Consider the following 20,174-nt stretch of genomic DNA (forward strand, 5'->3'; position numbering starts at 1 on the left):
GATGTGCTACAGCTTGATAGCTGTCAAGAAAGTTTTTTCATATGGAGAGCTTCACCTGCTCTACTGACTTGGTTTAGTCCTGCTTAAGCCGCTAAAGCATTTAAAGGCGGAGCTTGGCTGAGCTCATACTCAGCCTGTCTAGTGGGTAACTGCTCTGTCAAACACCTAGGCTTTTTTCACTTTTGGATTCCATAACTCATCTTAATACCTTCTATTATCACTATCTGAATTTGTTTACTATTAGAGTTTTAGAAATGGTGAAGGGGTGATAAGCTAGGAGGCAATGGGGGAATATTACTCATAGAAAATTGTGTCAGTGGGCGCACTGCAAAACAGCACACATTTTAGCAGCAATATTAACCTCACCATCTCACAAAGGAAAGCATATCTCAACTGTATTCATTCTTGTTTTGAATATTACTGGGATCTTTTGCCAAATTTGAAGTGGATCATCAGGTAAAATAGCCAACTGAGAATTTAGGGGGTCAGACTTGTCATCTTTTCTCTAAAACAAGACCTGTGTCATTCATATGCCAAAAGACTGTGGCTTACCCACCTTGCCAGTTCATATGCAGAGTTGACTTTTCTTCCTGTGGGTATGCTTTATCCATTATGTTTTACAACCCAATCACCAATATAAGTTGCTCATTTTCAAGATCCCTCTTCAGAGTCAGGAATGCCATCTTTGGTCTCGAAATTTCCTAAGAGAAATGCTCTCACAATGAAAGCAAACCCATAAACACCCCTCAGTATTCAAATGAGTTAACCACAACCATGTCATTCATCTAACTGGGTGTCCATTTCCTCAGTTTTCTCACCTGTAAATTGGGAAAGATCATACTGACTGACAGGAAATAGGCATTAAGGCATGATTAAGATCAATTTTGCTAAAAACACAACAAATAAAAAGGTGCTATAAAAATTCAGGCACTTGTGGAAGGTTGGACACCACAACTTAACGGAATTTTTCTGAAGTAAAAGAGACTAACAAATCAAGGGCATTATTTTTAGATGCCCCAAATCTGTTAGTTTTAAATAGGAACTGAATACTTTAAAGAAATTAGATGTTTAAATTAATCTATGGTAAGAATTACATTTGAAAGTAAAAACAAAAATCCTCTTGAATGCAAGAAGAGCATCCGAAAATTTTAACAGCTTAAAATACACGGTTTTCCTGTCTTCTCCCAAGCAATCTTTAAATGGACAGATTTCTGTGCATCTTTTCTAAAATCAATTTTCTTGTAAGTATAGGCTCAAGTCAAGACAAACTACAATCCAAATATATTTGAAGAAAGTATAATCAATTTAAACAAGTTGAAACAGGGAAGACTTACACATCTTAATGGTAGAATCAAAATGACTTTCTAAACACCTGGAGATTAGGGTTCTTCTCCCAGTTTGTTCTTCCAACTACATTCAGACAAACTACTGAGCTCAAATCCTCTGGCTTCTTCAGGGCCAACAAGGAGCTATATGGTGACACCATACTCGCACAATTCTTAAAACATATTTCATGCCAATGCCAAGGCCTGGACAGAGAATGCTTATGTTAAAGCACAATAAGTGCCCCAATGCCTTTTCTATTAAGTAAAACATTAATTTTTGCTGTAACATAAGATTTCTGGGCTAAGGCAATTGTATATAATCCACACCCAGAAGGTGTGGCAGAAAGCCAGGTAATGAAGGTCTGCATGTAGAAACCCCAGGCCCTTCACCATGTGAAGGGGCTACTTTCCTGGTGGGTAAGGACAGCATGCACCTGCCTATGGGCACTGTGCCATGCTCCTTTCCAATTCTTCCTGTAATTACTACTATGCTGGAGACTGCTAGGCAAGAAGGTCCAAGGAGGTGACTATTAGGATGGTCCAAAGAACACAATCCCTGCTTCTGCCCTCTATAGAAGCTACAAGTTTGATTGTAGCTTCTCAAACCACATGGGCCATAGAGATTTGGCTCACGTTATTTCTCTTTCCATTTTCTACTGACAGCTGGAGGGTGGTCTCAGCCCAACCATAAGTAGACCAAGCTGTCTTTACTCCAACCCTCCCCCCAGGTCGTTTCTCTCTATTTAAAGACTATCATGATGAAGTAAGTAGAGAATGGAATCTCCTGGACCCATTTACCTCTTGCCGTCTTTGCAGAATTTTACATTTTTTTTTCAGAAAAATAACAATAGGAGATTTAGATTCTCATTTCCTAATTAATAATTTTTGTCTTTGTGGACAGGATTTTATTTTTGAAATAAGACTTTGTTGGTCTTATATTGCTCATTTTAAAGAAAAAGTTTCCTAATTTTTGCATGTTACCAGATATCCTTTATGGAGATCAGTTCAGAAGAATTGTTGGGTATCTTAAGACTAAAAGGAATATTCTTTTGGATTCAACTGCAAATTTATTTCATGCCTTTCCATTGGCAACACATATGTTTCTTTCTCTCTGAAGTATTGGGTTACGTTTCAGAAAGAAAAGAAAATCTCCTAAACGTGATTTATCAACTTTCTTGAAATAGATTTTAAAGTGACTTCCAGATTAGTGTGAATATGGCAAAAATAAACATCACATAAGTGATTTCAATAGTGACAATCCCATTAGGCTGCACATTTCCAAATTTAGCACATAGGCAGTTTTTTCTTTTTCTTTTTCTTTTCTTTTCTTTCTTGCTTTTTTTTTTTTTTTTTTTTTTGAGACAAGGTCTGGCTTTGTCACCCAGGGTGGAGTGCAGCGGCGCCATCTCCGTTCACTGCAACCTCAGCCTCACAGGCTCAAGCCTTCTTCCTAACTCAACCTCCCGAGTAGCTGGGACTATAGGTGCATGCCACCATGCCCAGCTAATTTTTGTATTTTTTGTAGAGATGAGGTTTCACCATGTTGCCCAGGCGGGTCTCAAACTCTTAGGCTTAAGCCATCCACCTGTCTCAGCCTCCCAAAGTGCTGGGATTATAGGCGTGAGCCACATCACCTCGATTGTTTTTCTAATTAAAAAATATTTTAAACCTGAATTCTCATTGGCTATGTGAAGTCTGCATGACTTCTGAACTTTTGAAAGCCATTATCTTTTCTTATGTAAATTTTCATTATCCTTTAACCATTTCAAATAAATTAAAAACTGGAAAGACAGAAATTCAGCCAAGCTACATGAGACTCTAATAACTAGTGCAAATCTGGCTTGTGTTATGTAATTTCAAAATGGATGTTTCCTTGTGTCTAACTGACCTTCTGAGGTCCGTGTTTGGTTGTTCAATTTAATAATTGAGGAAGTGCCATTATTCAGATCAAGAATAATTAGACACTGGCAACAAAACTTCTTTTTCTGAGTTAGTGTTATGAAGAGAATGTGGTTTATGTAATTAATCAGCCTTTGAGGCCAAATGGCTTGTCATTTGGCTTTAAAATATATTCTAGCTTTGAAAATACACAGATGTTGGCTGAATGAAAATGGTGGCACATTACTTTTGACTGCTTTAGAAGACTGAAAGCAAACAGCTTGTTTGGAAAGTAAAAAAGCCAGAACCCAGGGAGAAGCACTACTCCAAGCACTGCCAAGACACCATCACCTTGGTGGTGTACTTACAATCAGATGACCCTGTGTGAGCGAGTTTGTCAGTGAATGTGTTGAGTGGATATGGGCTGGGTCTGGAGACTAAACAGCTTCAAAGTTCTGGCAGGGAAGGCCTAGCTTGGCGCTGGAGCCACCTGGCTGAGTAATCTCATTTTGCTCAGATGCCTTCTGCTTTTCAGGTGTCTCGGGCTTCTTCCTGCAATTAAACAAAGGGCCCTTTGAAGGAACTGACTGCATATTTGGGAAGAGGCGTTTTAGAATCTTTTAAAGATAACTTGATTTTTCTTTTTCTGAACGAGTATGGGAGGTAGTCTAATATGTCCCTTGTTTTGAAACAAGATGATTCTTGGATTTTGTTTTTTTTGTTTTTGTTTTTGTTTTTTTTTCCCCCTTCAGTAAAGGCCCAACTGGGAACACAGCACTACATTCGCACTCTGTTGGCTATATAAAAAGACCCTGTCCCAGAACTTTAGAGAGTGTGAGCTACGTATGGCTGACATTATCCAAGAAAGCATCCCTTCTTACCTCCTTAGCAGTTTTAACACGGTCTGGAAAAATACTAGTGGAGGTTTACTGTTCTAGAGTTTGTCAGGAAGCTTCAAAACAAGATTCATGGAGGAACGGGAGGAACACTGGACTGGGAGTCAGGATATTTAGCTATGGAACTCGCTGTGCCTCTCAGTTGCTGTCTGGCGTTGGGCACCTCACTTTACCTCTTTGTGCTTCAGTTTCTTCATCTGTCTAATAAAGGGCTTGTGTTAGAAGGCCTTCAAGTTTTCATCCAACTTTAAATTTCTACTTAATTAAGTCGAGCATTCAACTTTTGTGCTGTTATTTTATTTTAGATTTTATTTTAAATCGATACATAATTTCAAATTACAATTTCAATTTGCAGGCTATACAGATGAAGTGGTAGTGGTGGAGGTTTTTCTTAGAGTAGCAAGTGAAGCATGTAAAGAAGAGCTCAGACATTTATGCAGCCAAAAGACACATGAAAAAATGCTCACCATCACTGGTCATCAGAGAAATGCAAATCAAAACCACAGTGAGATACCATTTTAATAAACATTAAAATGTTTTCAATAGCTAAAATAAACATTAAAATGTTTTTTAAAAAACATTTTAATATTTCAAATAATGCTTTGCTAACTATATGGTTGATTCTAAGTTATGGGCCTACCATCAATGCATATTTTCCAGTATTCATAAGGGAGATGTATTATTTTACAAATATTTTACAAATCAAGCTTACTATCTATAGTAACCAATTAATAAGACAGCTCATGCATCAAGCACACTTTCATCACAAAATAGAGCAAAGCTTTCAACACATATCTGCTTGTATGTATGATCCATAGAGAGGAGACAAAACTGAAGTATGACACGGTTAAGAGTTTGTCCTTTTACATAGTTAATTTAACTGATAGCTGAGGTATCCATTTAAAACTTAGATGCTTGATAGCTGAGGTACCCATTTAAAACTTAGATGTTTTTGGTTGTGATCACACGTCTCTCACATGCCAGCAAAGTTGTCTGAGTTCTCCACTACAGAGGTTATTAATGTAAACATAACAATAAGAGGCTATTTTAGAGGCCTCAGTTTGCACTGCCCACCCCAAGAAAGAAATGGGAAAGTCTTATAAAATAACTAGAATAAGAAAACAGCAATGGATATGAAAAACAGATATATCACTTACTATCTGACACAATGTGGAATATATATTATTTGTAAATTATTTTCTCATATTCCACAGTGAATAAAGTAAAAGCATTACTCTGCCTAACCACTGTGTGTACCATCCACTTCACTCAACAGCTTAAAAGGGTAAGGAAGGAAATCGATGGAGCTGAATCACACTCAATCCTTATGTGGCATCCTGGATAGGAGAACAAAGCATTAAATAACACTAATGCAGCCCCCTCATTAGCATTTCTTGCTATAAAAGATATATGGCTGACAACAATGTTCTTGAATTACAAGTATCTCCCAGACACCTACAAAGCTTTCCCACATATTTTGAAATTCATTCCTGGAAGAAATTACTTTTTTTTTTTTCACTAGGTGTGAATAAGATACCACGCTTGTGTTGTAGGGCATGCCTGATGCCCAGTGTTTTAAACACAAAATGTGCCACGAGTCAAAGTTGATTTTTCTGAACTTACTTTACTAGGAGGCACAATTACATTAAACACATTACCACATGTCTTCCTCATCTGTTTCTGCAAAATGACTACTTTCGGGATGGCTGTGCATTCCTGAATTCCGTGCTGCACTGAAAATTTGAAAAGGCAAACGTTTTTAGAGGAAGGATGCTATTGTGGACATTTTTTCACATGGAAATGTACTATTTGTGGGTTTGTATGGCTGTTTGCCAATTAAAGCTTTAAAGCAGACCTATATACATGGAGTCCCTTGAGCCCTGACCATTTTACAGAGACATTTTTGCAAGCCCTCCAGGACTGAAGTCATAGATAACCATGCACTGCGGATCAGACTCCTTGGACGTCACGGACTGCACACATCCAGAAGAGCAGCTCTAAGGGCATCTGTAACTCTGCCGTGGGGCAGGAGCTTCCCATGGGAAACCTAAAGCCCTTGAAACTGCTTTAGAAACCTAGGGCTTCTTAGCATATGCAAGGTGGGCACCAAAGTAACGAGGGTGCCACGGGCTGCCCATGTGCTCCCCACGACCCGGTGCAAGGAGATAAGACAGACCGTCCCCTTGGGCGGGCACCTGTTTCCTTGACCCTTCATTCCAGTTTTACGTCCATGCCCCGTTTCCTGGGCTACCATAAACTGAGTTTACAGCAGGGCCTTGTCAGCCTCCCTGACGCACTTCCCGTCCATACGCACCATGGCTGGCCGTCCTGGGAGGCTAGAGACGACTCCTGAACCTTGTGAGTGCAAAGACACACTAAGGAACCCAGGTGTGTTAAATGAGAGCCAACGGGGAGGTCCCCAGGTTGAAGAAGAGTGGGGCTGGCATGCTCCGTGTCTACTGCTGAAGGAGCAAAGGACAAGGGAGAAGAGGCCAGCGTCCCCACCTGTCCCGTTGTGTCCCATCCAGCCCTTCCCTGGGGCTGCCTGCAGAGCTCACACCTGCTCCGCACACCTGAACTCCAGGTCCTCTGCTGAATTCTTGCCGTGCCCTTGGGACAGAGATTGCCCCTGCCCCGGGTCCCCAAGTGACCCCGTGTTGGTCGGGAGAGCTGTAGGGTGACACAGGACCTCCCCAGCCATCTGCATGGGAATGAACCTCTGTGTACCCGTCCTCGACAGTCAGGTGCTGGCATCTGCCCTCTCACCTGCCTGGACGCCCAGCAGACCCCCGGTGACCAAGGGTCCCATCCAGATGGGTGGCCGAGCAAGAGGGACACACGCGGACTCTCCCCCAGCCTCCAGCACATGCACAGAACCCAGTGATGCTCCCGGGCACTGGGGACCACCTGGACCCCTCGATCTCCCTTCCCTGGCCCACGCCAGCCTGCCCCTAGGGGACTCTCCCTGACCCAGGCCCCAGGTGACGCTGGGGAGATTTCCTCACAGGTCAGCCTGAGCTGCCCCAAGATCCACACTCTCGTCCTCTGAGGACCTCGGACTACACGGTCCCAGTCTCCCCTCCGGCCAGGTCCTCTCCTGAGGTACCCTCGACCTCTCCTCCTCACAGGACCTCCAGGACCTGGCACCTTGATGCTCCTCTGAGGGCCTGGGTCCTTGGTCCTCGCGAGAGCAGCTGGCCTGACTGTGGGTGCCCTTTCCTGATTGGCTGGCTCAGTGCATGTGGGAGGTGGGGCTATGTGGAGCCACGCCCCCCCCCCACTGGGCACGCCTTCCCCTGAGGGATGGCCCATGGCTGCTGTGGACTGGACTTCCACCCCTACGGTCCTCCAGCTCCTCATCCTGGGGAAGGACAGAAGGACCTGGGAGTGGAGTGGGGAGCAGCTACTGACCCTGCCCTGAGAGGTGGAGGCCATGTGGCTGTGGCCTAGGACCTTGTACCTGGACTCCTTCCAGCCACCCTTCTCCTTTGGGAGAAATGGCCATCACCCTGGAAGTGGGGCCCAGGCTCCCTCCCATGCCCTGTGTGCTTCCAACACGCCCAGCTGCATCCCAGGCATTCCTGCTGTGCGTCCCGTGCACCCACCACATCACAAGACCTGCTTCCTTATCTCTGTGGGATTCTGCCCCTTCCTCCTTAGCTCACCGTTGAGTCACTTAGGGTGCCTATGGGGTGGCAGGTGCCGTCCTGCCCTCATCTCCCCTGTTGCATCAGGTACCCGTGTGGGGCCACTCCACCCCGCATGCGTCCATTTCCTGTCCATTCACCTCTGGGCAGGGCTGTTGTGAAAGAGGGCTGCTCTATTGTTGTGGCTAGGGCTGTTGTGAAAGAGGGCCGCTCTGACTTTGATTAAATGTTGTGGTTACCTGTAGACATGCTGCTTTCATTTCCCCTATTCCATCACCTACCTCTGTGGGGCTAATCTACAAAAAATCCACTTAGTTCTCTGTCTATGGACATGTCAGTTCTTTCCAGTGTCAGTCCCTTCTAAGCAAGGATGCTATGAAGAGTGAGATGTCTGGCATACGTGCCAAAGGTTTACACGGTTATCAGAGAGTGGAATTCCTGGATCATAGACTCAGGGAATATTCCCCAGTGCTCAATTGTTTCCAAGAGGCATCCCCCACCAGAAGAGTGTGTTCCCACTGTTACACAGACTCGCTGGTGGAATAGGCCTTTTGCTTAATGCTGTCATTCTAGTGGGTGTGAAATGGCATGGATTTGGGATCTTGCATTTCTCCAGTTACTAATAAGACTGGGTTCTTTTTCTCGGCTGTTTGCATATCCTTTTACAGTACAATATCCATGTTGGTGAATTAACCATTTTTCACTTTAATAAGATGTTTTTCTTCCATTTCTTATATATTGTGAGGCTAAGCTTTATAACTGTGTTTACCTGTGCCTTTTGTAATAAATTTATCTTTTCTCTGAAGTCATAAAAATTTCCCCTCTATTTTCTAATAAAGATTGTGAGATTTAATTTTTCATGTTCTTTTTAACCTTTAAGTTCAGAGGTATATGTGCAGGTTTGTTATAGGGTAAACTTGTGTCATGGGGCTTTGTTGTACAGATTATTTCATCACCCACTTATTAAGCTTAGTACCCATTAGTTATTTTTCCTGACTTACCTACAATTGATTTTTGTGCCTGATGTCAGGTGGAGAACCAATTCCTTTTTTTCCTTCCCGTGCAGAAATTCGGTTTTCTTGTCCTCATTAGTTGAAGAGCATACACTTTCCCCATTATCAGCTTATTTACTGCAAAGTCCCTCTTTGTTCCTGCTGATTTGAAATGCTACCTTTATCATACTCCCAATTTGCAAATATTACTGGGTCGTCTTATCACTTTCTAGAATGTTGCCTTGGTCTGTCTCTCTATTCCCATGCCAGTGAATACCACAGTGTTTTAATTATGGAGGCTGGGTGTATACTGTAATGTGTTTGGGGCCAGTTTTCCCATATAGCTCTTCCTTTCCCGTGACTTTGTAGCTATTCTTGCCTTTTGAAATGGGCATTATGATACCATCTTCTTCTCTCCAGGAAAAAGGGAATGGTGTTGGTATTTTTATGGAATTGTATTAAACTTATAAACTCACTTAGGGAGAACCAACATCTTGATGATGCCGTAATGTCCTAACACTGAACAAACGATTTCTACCCACTTGCCCAAGTCTGCTTTTGTGTCTTTTTAAAAGGCACCGTATAGTGCTTTCAATATGTCTTAATTTTATGCCTAAATATTTTCATCATTTTTGTTGCTTTTGTAAATGATTGTTTTATTTGTAATTGTATCCCCTACCTGGTTATGTTTTGGTGGGCGTGGAGCCTTTTGATCTGAGCAGTAGCTCTCAAGAGTAGGCTTTGGTTTGGAGAAAGTGCCTATGAAACAGTCTGTGCCTGGTGGTCTCATATGGGAGATTTCCTTCGTAAGGCTATTTCCTCTGTACAAATGTTCTTTTATCCTTTTGGGCGCTATTGGGGTCAATTATATAGTGAGTGTATTTTCACAAGAAATTACATAGTTCATATAGTTTTACAAGGTTATCGGCATAGAGATGTGTAAAGAGGCCCCTCTGATTTTTAAAAATTTCCTCTTTATTGTTATTTACAGGCATACCTCAAAGATATTGTGGGTTTAGTTCCAGACCATCACAATAAAGCAAGTGACATGAATTTTTTGGTGTTTCTTGCATGTAAAAGTTAAGTTTACAGTATATTATAGTCTATTAGATGTGCAATAGCACTATGGCAAAAATATATACATACCTTAACTTAAAAAGAGTTTATTATAACAAATGCTCAATATCACCTGAGCCGTCAGTGAGTCATACACTCTTAGCTGGTGTGAAGTGTTGCCTCAATGTTCATGGCTGCTGAGTGATCGGTGGGGTGGTTGGTGAAAGTTGGGGTGGCTGTGGCAATTTCTTAAAATTAGACATCAATGAAGTTTGACACATAGATTGACTCTTCTTTTCATGAAACCTGTCTCCATAGCATACGATGCTGTTTATAGCATTTTACTCACCCATAGTTGAATATCCTTCAAAGTTGTAACGAACCCTCTTAAACCCTGCCACTGCTGTATCAACTAAGTTTATGCAATACTCTAAATCCCGTACTGTCATTTCAACTACTACTACGTTCACAGCATCTTCTCCAGGAATGGATTCCATTCCATTTCAAGAAATCACTTTCTTTGTTCTTCCGTAAGAAGCAACTCCTTGTCCCTTCCAGTTTGATCATGAGATTGCAGTGATTCAGTTTCTTCTTCAGGCTCCACTACTCTTTCTGGTTCTCTTGCTATTTCCATCACATCTGCAGGTACTTCCCCCACTGACATTGTGAACCCCTCAAAGTGATTTGTGAGGGTTGGAATCAACTTCATCCTTTAATGTTGATATTTTGACTTCCTCCCATGAATCACGAATGTTCTTAGTGGCATGCAGAAAGGGGAATCATTTCCAGAAGGTTTTCAATTTCCTTTTTTCAGATCCTTCAGAGGAATCACTATCTATAGCAGCTACAGCCTTATGGAATCTGTTTGCTAAACAGGAAGACTTGAAAGTTAAAATCATTTCTTGATCCATGGGCTGCAGAGTGAATGTTTCATGCATGCTAGCAGGCATAAAATTAAAAAAAAAAAAAACCTCCTTGTACATCTTCATGACAGCTCTTGAGTGACCAGACACACTGTGAATGAGTGGTAATATTTGGAAGGGAATCTTTTTATTTCTGAGCAGTAGGTCTCAAGAGTGGGCTTAAAATCTTCAGTAAGTCACGATGTAAACAGATGTGCTGTCGTCCAGGCTTTGTTGTTTCATTTCTAGAGCACAGGCAGAGTAGCTTTAGCATCATTCTTAAAGGCCCTAGGATTTTCAAAGCGATAAATTAGCATCGGCTTCAACTTACAGTCACCAGCTGCATTAGCCCCCTAACAAGAGAGTCAGCCTGTCCTTTGAAAGTTTGGAGCCAGGCATTGACTTCTCCTCTCTACCTACAAAAGTCCTAGATGGTATCTTCTTCCAGTAGAAGGCCGTTTCATCTAGAAGGAAAACCTGTCGTGAGCACAGCCACCTTCACCCATGATCTCAGCTAGATCTTCTGGAGAACTTCCTGCAGTGCCTCCATCAGCACTTGATGATCCATCTTGCACTTTTATGTGATGGAGATGGCCTCTCTCCTTACACTCCATGAACCAGTATCTGCTAGCTTCTCCTTTTTTTTGTTTTTGTTTTTTGTCTTGTTTTGTTTTGTTTTTTGTTTTTTGTCTTTTTTCTGCAGCTTCCTCATCTCTCTCGGCCTCAGAGAAGTGAGGAAAGATAGGGCTGTGCTCTGGATTAGGCCTTGGCTTAAGGGCATCTGGTGGCTGGTTTGATGATATGTCCACTAAAACTCTCTGCATATCAGCACGAAATCTGTTTCGCTTCCTTATCATTCATGTGTTCGCCGGAGTGGCACTTTTCATTTCTTTCACCACCTGGCTAAGACTTTGGCACAGGTGGTCTAGTTTGGGGCCTATCTCAGCTTGCAACGTGCCCTCCTCACTGAGCTTAATAATTTCTCCCTTTTGATTTAAAGTGAGAGATCTGCAATTCCTCCTTTCACTTGAACCTTTAGAGGCCATCGTAGGGTTATTATTTGGCCTAATTTCAATTCTGTCGTGTCACAGGGAGTAGAGAGACCAGAGCAGAGTGAGAGAGATGGGGAGAGGCCAGTCAGTGGAGCAGTCAAAACACACACAACATTGATTGATTAAGCTTGCTTCTTCTAGGGTGCATTTTGTGGCTTCCCAATGTGATTACAATAGCAAAATCAAAGAGCACTGATCACGGATCACCAAAACAGATATAGTCCTACTGAAAATTTGAGATGTTGTAAGAATTACCAAAATGTGACACAGAGACACGAGGTGAGCACATGCTGTGAAAAATGGTGCCCACGGATTATTCAAATCAGGGTCATTAGGAACCTTCCAAAACAAGCTGCATCTGCAAAGTGCAATAAAGCACAATCAAACAAAGTATGCTGGTAGTTGTGTGTCTCCTGTGCAAACATCTATCTATCATCTATCTATCTATCTATCTATCTATCTATCTATCTATCTATCTCTATGCCTATCTATCTAGCTATCTATCTACCTGCCTACCTATCTACCTGTCTGTGTACCTATTATATATATACAGAAACACTATCTCTGCATCTTTGATTCAGTTAGCTACTGCTTCATCTGCCTCATTGATTTAAAAAGACACTCTTCAATATTTGTGTCTCCTATTTCTGTTTCTCCCTCATTAATGTCTGCTTTATATATTAACATTATTACTTGTTCGTGCTTTCTTTTAACTTTGTTTTATGTCTAGCCCTTGAGCTAGAAATGTCACTGATTCATTTTTATACTCCCATTGTCATGGTTATGAGTATTCAAAGCGGTCTACTTTTCTCTGATCACCTCTTTAAATATATGTCATAGATTCAAATCTATAGGGTTTATTATAATTTATCAGAAAGTAGATAATTCCTCCTCATATCTAGGCCGGCACCCAGTAGTTCTTTAACAGTTGATTTTTATGAGTTCTGGGGCACGTGAGCTTATTTACAGCTTTTAGTTGTATTGTACTACGACCACAGCAGTAGTTTGTGATATCTCTATATGTGGAGCTTACTAATGTTTTCTTCGTGACCTCACATATGATCAATTTCTGTAAATGTTCTTTGTAAACCTGAGAAGGTATATTTTCCAGTATCATGTTGTAGTTTCAATACATGTACATTAGTTCTACCTTTTCAAATATGTTTAAAGTGTTACAGTGGGCTGTGTGCAGTGGCTCACCCTTGTAGTCCCAGCACTTTGCGGGGCTGAGATGGGAGGATCACTTAAGCCCAGGAGCTCAAGACCAGACTTAGTACCACAGAGAGATCCTGTTTCTACCAAAAATAAGAAGATTAGCTAGGCATGACGGCATGTCCTGGTAGTCCCAGTGACTCAGGAGGCTGAGACAGGAGGATCATGTGAGTCTGGGAAATCAAGGCTTCTGTGAGTCATGAACCCACAGTGGCAGTGACACTGGGAAATCAGAGCCAGACTCTGTCTCAAACAGAAACAAACAAATCTCATGTACCCCATAAATATATACACCTACTATGTATACATAAAAATTTTAAAGCTAAAATTAAAAAAATTTTTTATGTTACACTGTTATTCCTTTTTAACCATTTAACTGGTTGTGGCAAATTGCATTTTCTGAAGATGGTCACAGTACCACCTTCTTTCCCACAAGCTCTTCTTTCCATGTGACCTGGGGCCCTGCTCCTATCAAGGAGTGCAGCCTATATGTCCTTCTCTTGGACTCAGGCAGTGTATGAAGCTGCTGAGTGTGAGAGAGGACCACACAAGTGAGGATTTCTGTCTGTGGAGACTAGGACACAAAAATGCCATGAAATCCCACCTTGCTCCTTCAGGACACTTGATCTGGGAACCCACCCATTATGCTTTGAGGAAGCTCAAGCAGCCCGTGGAGAAACCCGTGGAGAGCATCAGAGGCTCCCAGCCTCAGCTAAGTTTCCAGCTAATAACCAGCTGCAGCTTGCCAGCCATGAGAGCAAGCCATCTTTGAACGTGGATCCTCCAGTCTCCACTTGAGCAACACTAAGTCGCATCCTTGGGTCACAGATGACTCACCTCCATTAAGCCCCCAAAAAACTACATGATGATTTTTATTTTCAGCCACAGAGGAAATCCTCCCCTTTAACCAGAGCTCTATTTCCCCCCAAGTCCCCTTAGGAGAGCTTCATGACAGCTGCCAGCTTTCTCCCAGTATCTCTCTTACTTGCTCACTCCCCATTCCATCTCTCTACATTTCCTCCTTCCGTTACCTGACTCTTCTGTTTTGGGTTCCCTATCTCTGTCTTATAGGAGCATCACTTTCTCTCTCTTCTCTGCTCTACTCACCCTTCAGGTTTGCTCCTTCCACTCCCAACTCCCTGTCACACGCACCATTTGTCTCCCTTGCTGGTTTTGTGACAGAACAATTCAGACGAAATCCCCCAAAACTTCTGCCATCAAACCTACAAGCTACCTGCATCTGTGCCCTGTCTCTCCCTCTGTTAGAGGAGGAAAGACGTCCCTGCCCCTGTGTTCTAGGTTCCATGGCCTCCTGTCTTCCAGAAACCTCGTGTTATCCATTAGTTTATCCATTATCTTTCTCCTCCCTCTATCTTCTGCATGTCTTTCTCTTGCCATCCTTCTTATTCCCATTTGCGCATACTCGAATCTCCTTCAACTTGAAAATCCCTGGGCCTTATTCACCACCAATGTAATTCCCACCACTCTCTTACTCTTTGTGTCAAAGTTTCCAAAGGATTATCTCTGCTTGGTGCCTCTATTGCCTCATCTCTCACATTTTCTGTAATCCACTAGAAACCAACGTGGGCCCGCACATCTCTTCTAAAAGGATTCTCCCTCAAAAGTCACTGGTGACCTCCATGTGACTAGATCTAATGCACATTCTCTGGCACTCATCTCAGTTGATTCTCAGCTGCGGTCAACACTGTTGAGCACTCTCCTCTTTTTCTCAGTGCCCTCCTTTTGTCTTCCTTTGTCTTCCATAACAACACATTCTCCTGTTATTCTCTTCATCTTGGCCACGTCTCAATATCTTTTCTAGCAGCACCTTCTCCACGGGGCCCTTTCAAGATGGAATTTCCAGGGATTTGGGTCTTGCTCAATTCTCTTCCAGCTGTATACTCTTTCTCTATTTATTTTCATATATGGCCATAACTACCATTACCATTGAAATCAAAGTTTCTCAAAGTGTGACTTGTGGACCAGCCTGTATCAGGGTCACAGTGAAAGGGATTTGGGAAAGTTTGGATTTCATGGCCCTCTTCAGGCCTACCAAATGAACTCTCTCTGTGGGAGGGAATGTGAAATCTGCATTGGAAATAAGTTATCCAGGTTGTTCTCATACCCACACACTATGCGTCAGGGACTGCCTGGCTGACATTAACAATGGCAGCTCAACGCCTCCATCTGGTGGCTTTTGGACACCATCGTCTTCTTTTTGCAAATACAGTCCATGGAGATTACGAAACTATTGAAAATGTGAAAAATGAGAAAGAAGTAAAAAAACAGGATATGAATGGAGTCTCTACTCCACAAATAATCAAGACTGAATTACATCATTTTATGGCATGTCTAGCACAAAGTAGAACTTGTCTATATTACAGTTTTGAGAGTAAATCCAATGGACACATTTCCATTTTCATCTAAGGGCAGGAAAACACAGGTATTGGATGACTCCCCCTCTACAGATCATTACACCAAGTTTCTAACTCCTAAGAATGCTGCATTTAATGAATTTGTAAACTTAGTCTTCCAGAAGTTAGCTAATAAAGAACCCTCTGCTTTCCACTAATAAATTAATATGGGTTTTGATTCCCATTTCTCCGATGATTAGTGATGTGAATCACTTTTTTCATACACCTGTGGGACATTGGTATGTCTTCTTTTGGGAAATGTCAATTCAGTTCCTTGGCCCACTTTTTAAGGGGCTCCTTTTTCTCCTGTCGAGTCGTTTGAGTTCCTCGTATGTTCTGGATATCAGTCACCTGTCGGGTGATTAGTTTGCAAATATCTTCTCCCATTCAATAGGTTATTTCTTTACTCTGCTGATTGTGCCTTTTGTTGTGCAGAAGCTTTTCAGCTGTATGCACTGTATTTGTCTATTTTTGGTCGTTTTTGCTGCCTGTGCTTTCAAAGTCTTAGGAATTCTTTGCCTAGACCGGTGTCAAAGAGAGTTTTCACTAGGTTTTCTCCTAGCATTTATATAGCTTCAGGTTGTTTTTTGTGTTTTCTTTTATTTTACTTTGTTTTGTTTTGCTTTGCTTTGTTTTGTTTTGTTTTGTTTTGTTTTTGAGACGGAGTCTCGCTCTGTCTCCCAGGCTGGAGTGCAGTGGCGCCATCTCGGCTCACTGCAAGCTCCACCTCCTGGGTTCAAGCGATTCTCCTGCCTCAGCCTCCCGAGTAGCTGGGACTACAGGCACGTGCCACCACGCCCGGTTAATTTTCTGTAATTTTAGTAGAGACGGGGTTTCACCGTGTTAGCCAGGATGGCCTCGATCGCCTGACCTCATGATCCGCCCGCCTCGGCCTCCCAAAGTGCTGGGATTACAGGCGTGAGCCACCACACCCGGCCTCAGCTCTTTTATGTAACTCCTTAATCTATTTGCGTTCATTTTTGTATACGGTGAGAGACACAGGCCTAATTTCACTAACCACCACAGAAATGCAAACCAAAACCGCAATGACATATCATCTTTCCTCAGTCAGAATGGCCACTATTTAAAAAGACACAAAATAACAGAGGTTGGCAAGAATAAGAAGCAAAGGCAAATCTTACAGCCTGTTGGTGAGAGTGTAAACTACTACAGCCACCGTGGAAAAGAGTATGGCGACTTCTCAACAAAACTGAAAACAGAACTACCATTCGATGCAGCAATCCCATGACTGGGTATCTACCAAAAGGAAAAGAAATCAATATATTAAAAAAATACCTGCTCTTGCATGTTTACTATATAGCACTATTCACAATAGCAAAGACGTGGAATCAACTTCAGTGTGCATCAACAGATGAATGGTTTTTTAACAAGATGGTGTATATATGTATACATATATCTAGGTGTATTTGTGTGTGTGTGTGTGTGTGTGGAACACAAATTATTCCTTTAAAAAGAAGAATGAAATCATGTTATTTGCAGCCGCATGGACGGAACTAGAGGCCATTATCGTCAGTGAAATAAAGTAGGCATAAAAAGACAAATATCACATGTCCTCTATTATATGTGGGAGCTAAAACATCTGATCGCGTGGAGCTAGAGAATGGAGAGGTAGAGAATGGAGACTGGGAAGAGTGAGTCAGCAGGAGAAGGATGCAGAGAAGTGCGTTGAAGGGAACAAACCTACAGTGAGATAGAAGCAATCAATTCCGTGTTTGAGAGCAGAGTAGGGTGACGGTCCTTCACAAAAATGTATTGTACTCAGGCGACGGACACCCTAAATATCCTGACTTAATCACTACACATTGTATACATGTAACAAAATTTCACATGTACCCATAAATTTATATACAAAATACAAAAATTAAAATTAATAACAAATAAAGAAATACTATAATATGAGGCTCTCTAAGGTAACTTAAATTCTACTTTCAAGTCTGTGTTCTAGTTAAAAATGTAATACATCTTCACTGTAAAATGTTATGAAAATATAATTTATAAAGGAAATGAAATTCACACATAATTCCACCAAGCAGATATAATATTCCATTTAAAATCCCGGGTATTATTTCCTTTCATCCTTTTCTCTCTCTAGATAGATAGAGGCGTGGGTATACATAAAGACATAGCTATGGACTCAAATAGATACAGCTATAGATTGTCTTTACGTCTTCTAAAATTATCTTTAACTTTCGTACCTGTCTTTGTTTGCTACCAGCTCTGCAAGTTTCTTTCTGTTTGTAATCATGCATTTTCCTTCTTTCATCTACATTTAGCAAAGTCTTCAAGACTGTATTCACTCTCATCGTGCTTTCCCACTGCCTGTGCGAGTAACAGGTTAAAGGTAAGGCTACTGTATCCTATTCCCTTTGAATTCACTTGCTTGTGACCATCAGCATTTCACTGGCTCATAGCAAGCCACCAACGTGTTGGGTGAGGAACAATGGGCAAAGGCTGCCAGAGCCCTTGCTGTACTACAGACTCTTTGTGAGATCATATAATTGAATGTGGTTTCCTACAGTAACTTTACTGAAAATTATCTCTCGTTTCACTTACTCATGTTAAACATTGCCTCAGATTGATCTCCGTCACAATGGCACGTTACTACTGGAAAAGGCATATAGTAGTCTGAAAATATCTGGAGATTTCACCATGTGCTCCAAGAGGTAATACATAGATGTCTACGTACCATAGATACATCAAGATTTCATAACTCATCTCAGTGCTAATTCTAAGAACAGCACATTGCTAATACTACTCCACCTTGATCACTGCCAATTTACTCCTTCTGATTACCTAGACTCGTGACAAAACATTTTCTCACTGTTTTAGAAGCCCGTGGTGTAGAATTTTCTCAAGGCCATTTGACAGCCTAAATATCACGCTTTGTTGTTTCGTTCATAGTCTCAAAGAAATCAAGGTGAGAGTCTGGCTTTTAGAGAAGCACTCAGCAGACTAAATATTGCTGATCGATATTGAGATGTGGGTAGGAGTTTAACACATGAATGAGGACGGAAAAGATGGCCCATGCAATAAGCAAAATAGGATCCAGGCATGTGCAAGGGTACAGGGACGGAGAACATAGGCTCAACGTCATTACTCTTAGGGAAATGCAAATCACACCACAATCCTACCAGCTAACCACCCCCCAGGTTGTTTACTTTCAAGAGGAAGACAAAAATTGCTGCTGTTAAAGATGTGGAGAAACTGCAAGCCTTATACACTGCTGACGGGAATGTAAAATGGTGTGTGGCTGCTACGAAAAACAGTTTGGTGTTTCCTCAAGATGTTAAAAGTAATGAACATATGACACCATCATTCCACTCCTAGATACATGCAGAAAAATTTAAAACAGACATTCAAGCAAATACATGTGTATGAATGTCCCTAACAGCACCATGGACAACAGCCAAATAGGAGCATCCCACATTACCACCAACAGATAAATGGATGAACACAACATGATGGATCCACCTAACGGGATACTCCGTAGCTGTGAGAAAGAATGACGCTCTGATACATGGTACGACGTGGGATGAACTTGGAAACCATGTTACGTGAAATAGGCCAGACACAAAGGGTCACATACCCTATGATTCCATTTCTATGGAATGTCCAGAAGAAGCAAATGTTAAGGATTAGCGATACTTAGAAATCAGGTTGTTATCATGTCATCTGATTACAAAACGGATGAGTGGATGCCAGGGAAGGAGGGAGGCGGGAATCAGTAGTGACTGCCTCATGGGTACAGGGTTTTCTTTGGGATTGATGCAAATGTTGTGTAAATAGACAGAGGTGATGATTTTGCAATACTGTGAATTTACTTTATGCCACCAAACGGTATGCTTAAATATCTAATTTTATGTTATCTGAGTTTCACTTCAATAAATATTTCTTTCAAAAATAACAATTCTTAGACCCATGCAATATATGTTCAAGTGTTTTGAAAAAACCTGAGCTATCAATTAAATGAAAATTTCAATTTAAAAATAATCTTCAGCCCATTCATGTTTACATACAAATATGGTCCATGAAAAATAAGTCCATTTTTGACAACAACACAAGTATCGAAAGAAATATGCCAAAGAAATTATCAACAGAGTAACAAGGTAACCTGAAGAATGGAAGAAAATATTTGCAAACTGTGCTTGCGACAAAGAACTAATATGCAGAATCTACAAGGAACTCTACAAAAACAGCAAGGAGAAAGAGCAAATAATCCCATTAAAACGTGGGCATATGACGTGGACAGACATTTCTCAAAAGAGGATATACAAATGGACAAGACATATTTGAAAAAATGTTCAACATTGCTCATCATCAAGGAAACACCAATGAACACCAGGGTGAGATAGCACCTTACCCCGGCCAGAATGACCACGATTAAAAACTCAATAAACAATAGATGTTGGTGCAAATGTGGTGGAAAAGAATGCTTTTACGCTGCTGGTGGGAATCAAAATTAGTCCAACCCCTATGGACAACAGTATGGAGACTCCTTAAAGAACTAATAGTCGATACACCATACGATCCAGCAATACCACGACTGGGTATCTACCCAACGGAAACGAAGTCATTATGTGAAAAAGACAGCTGCACATGTATGTTTATCGCAGCACAATTCACAATCGCCAGCGTGTGGCATCGACCTAAGTGCCCATCGACTGATGAGTGGAGGAAGAAAATGTGTATATACACCATGAAATGCTAGTCAGGCGTAAAAAAAAGAACAAAATCGTGTCTTTTGTGGCAACTTGGATGCAACTGCAGGCCATTATCCTA

Source organism: Homo sapiens, chromosome X (genome assembly GCF_000001405.40).
Source record: "Homo sapiens chromosome X, GRCh38.p14 Primary Assembly".
Taxonomy (NCBI): Eukaryota; Metazoa; Chordata; class Mammalia; order Primates; family Hominidae; genus Homo; species Homo sapiens.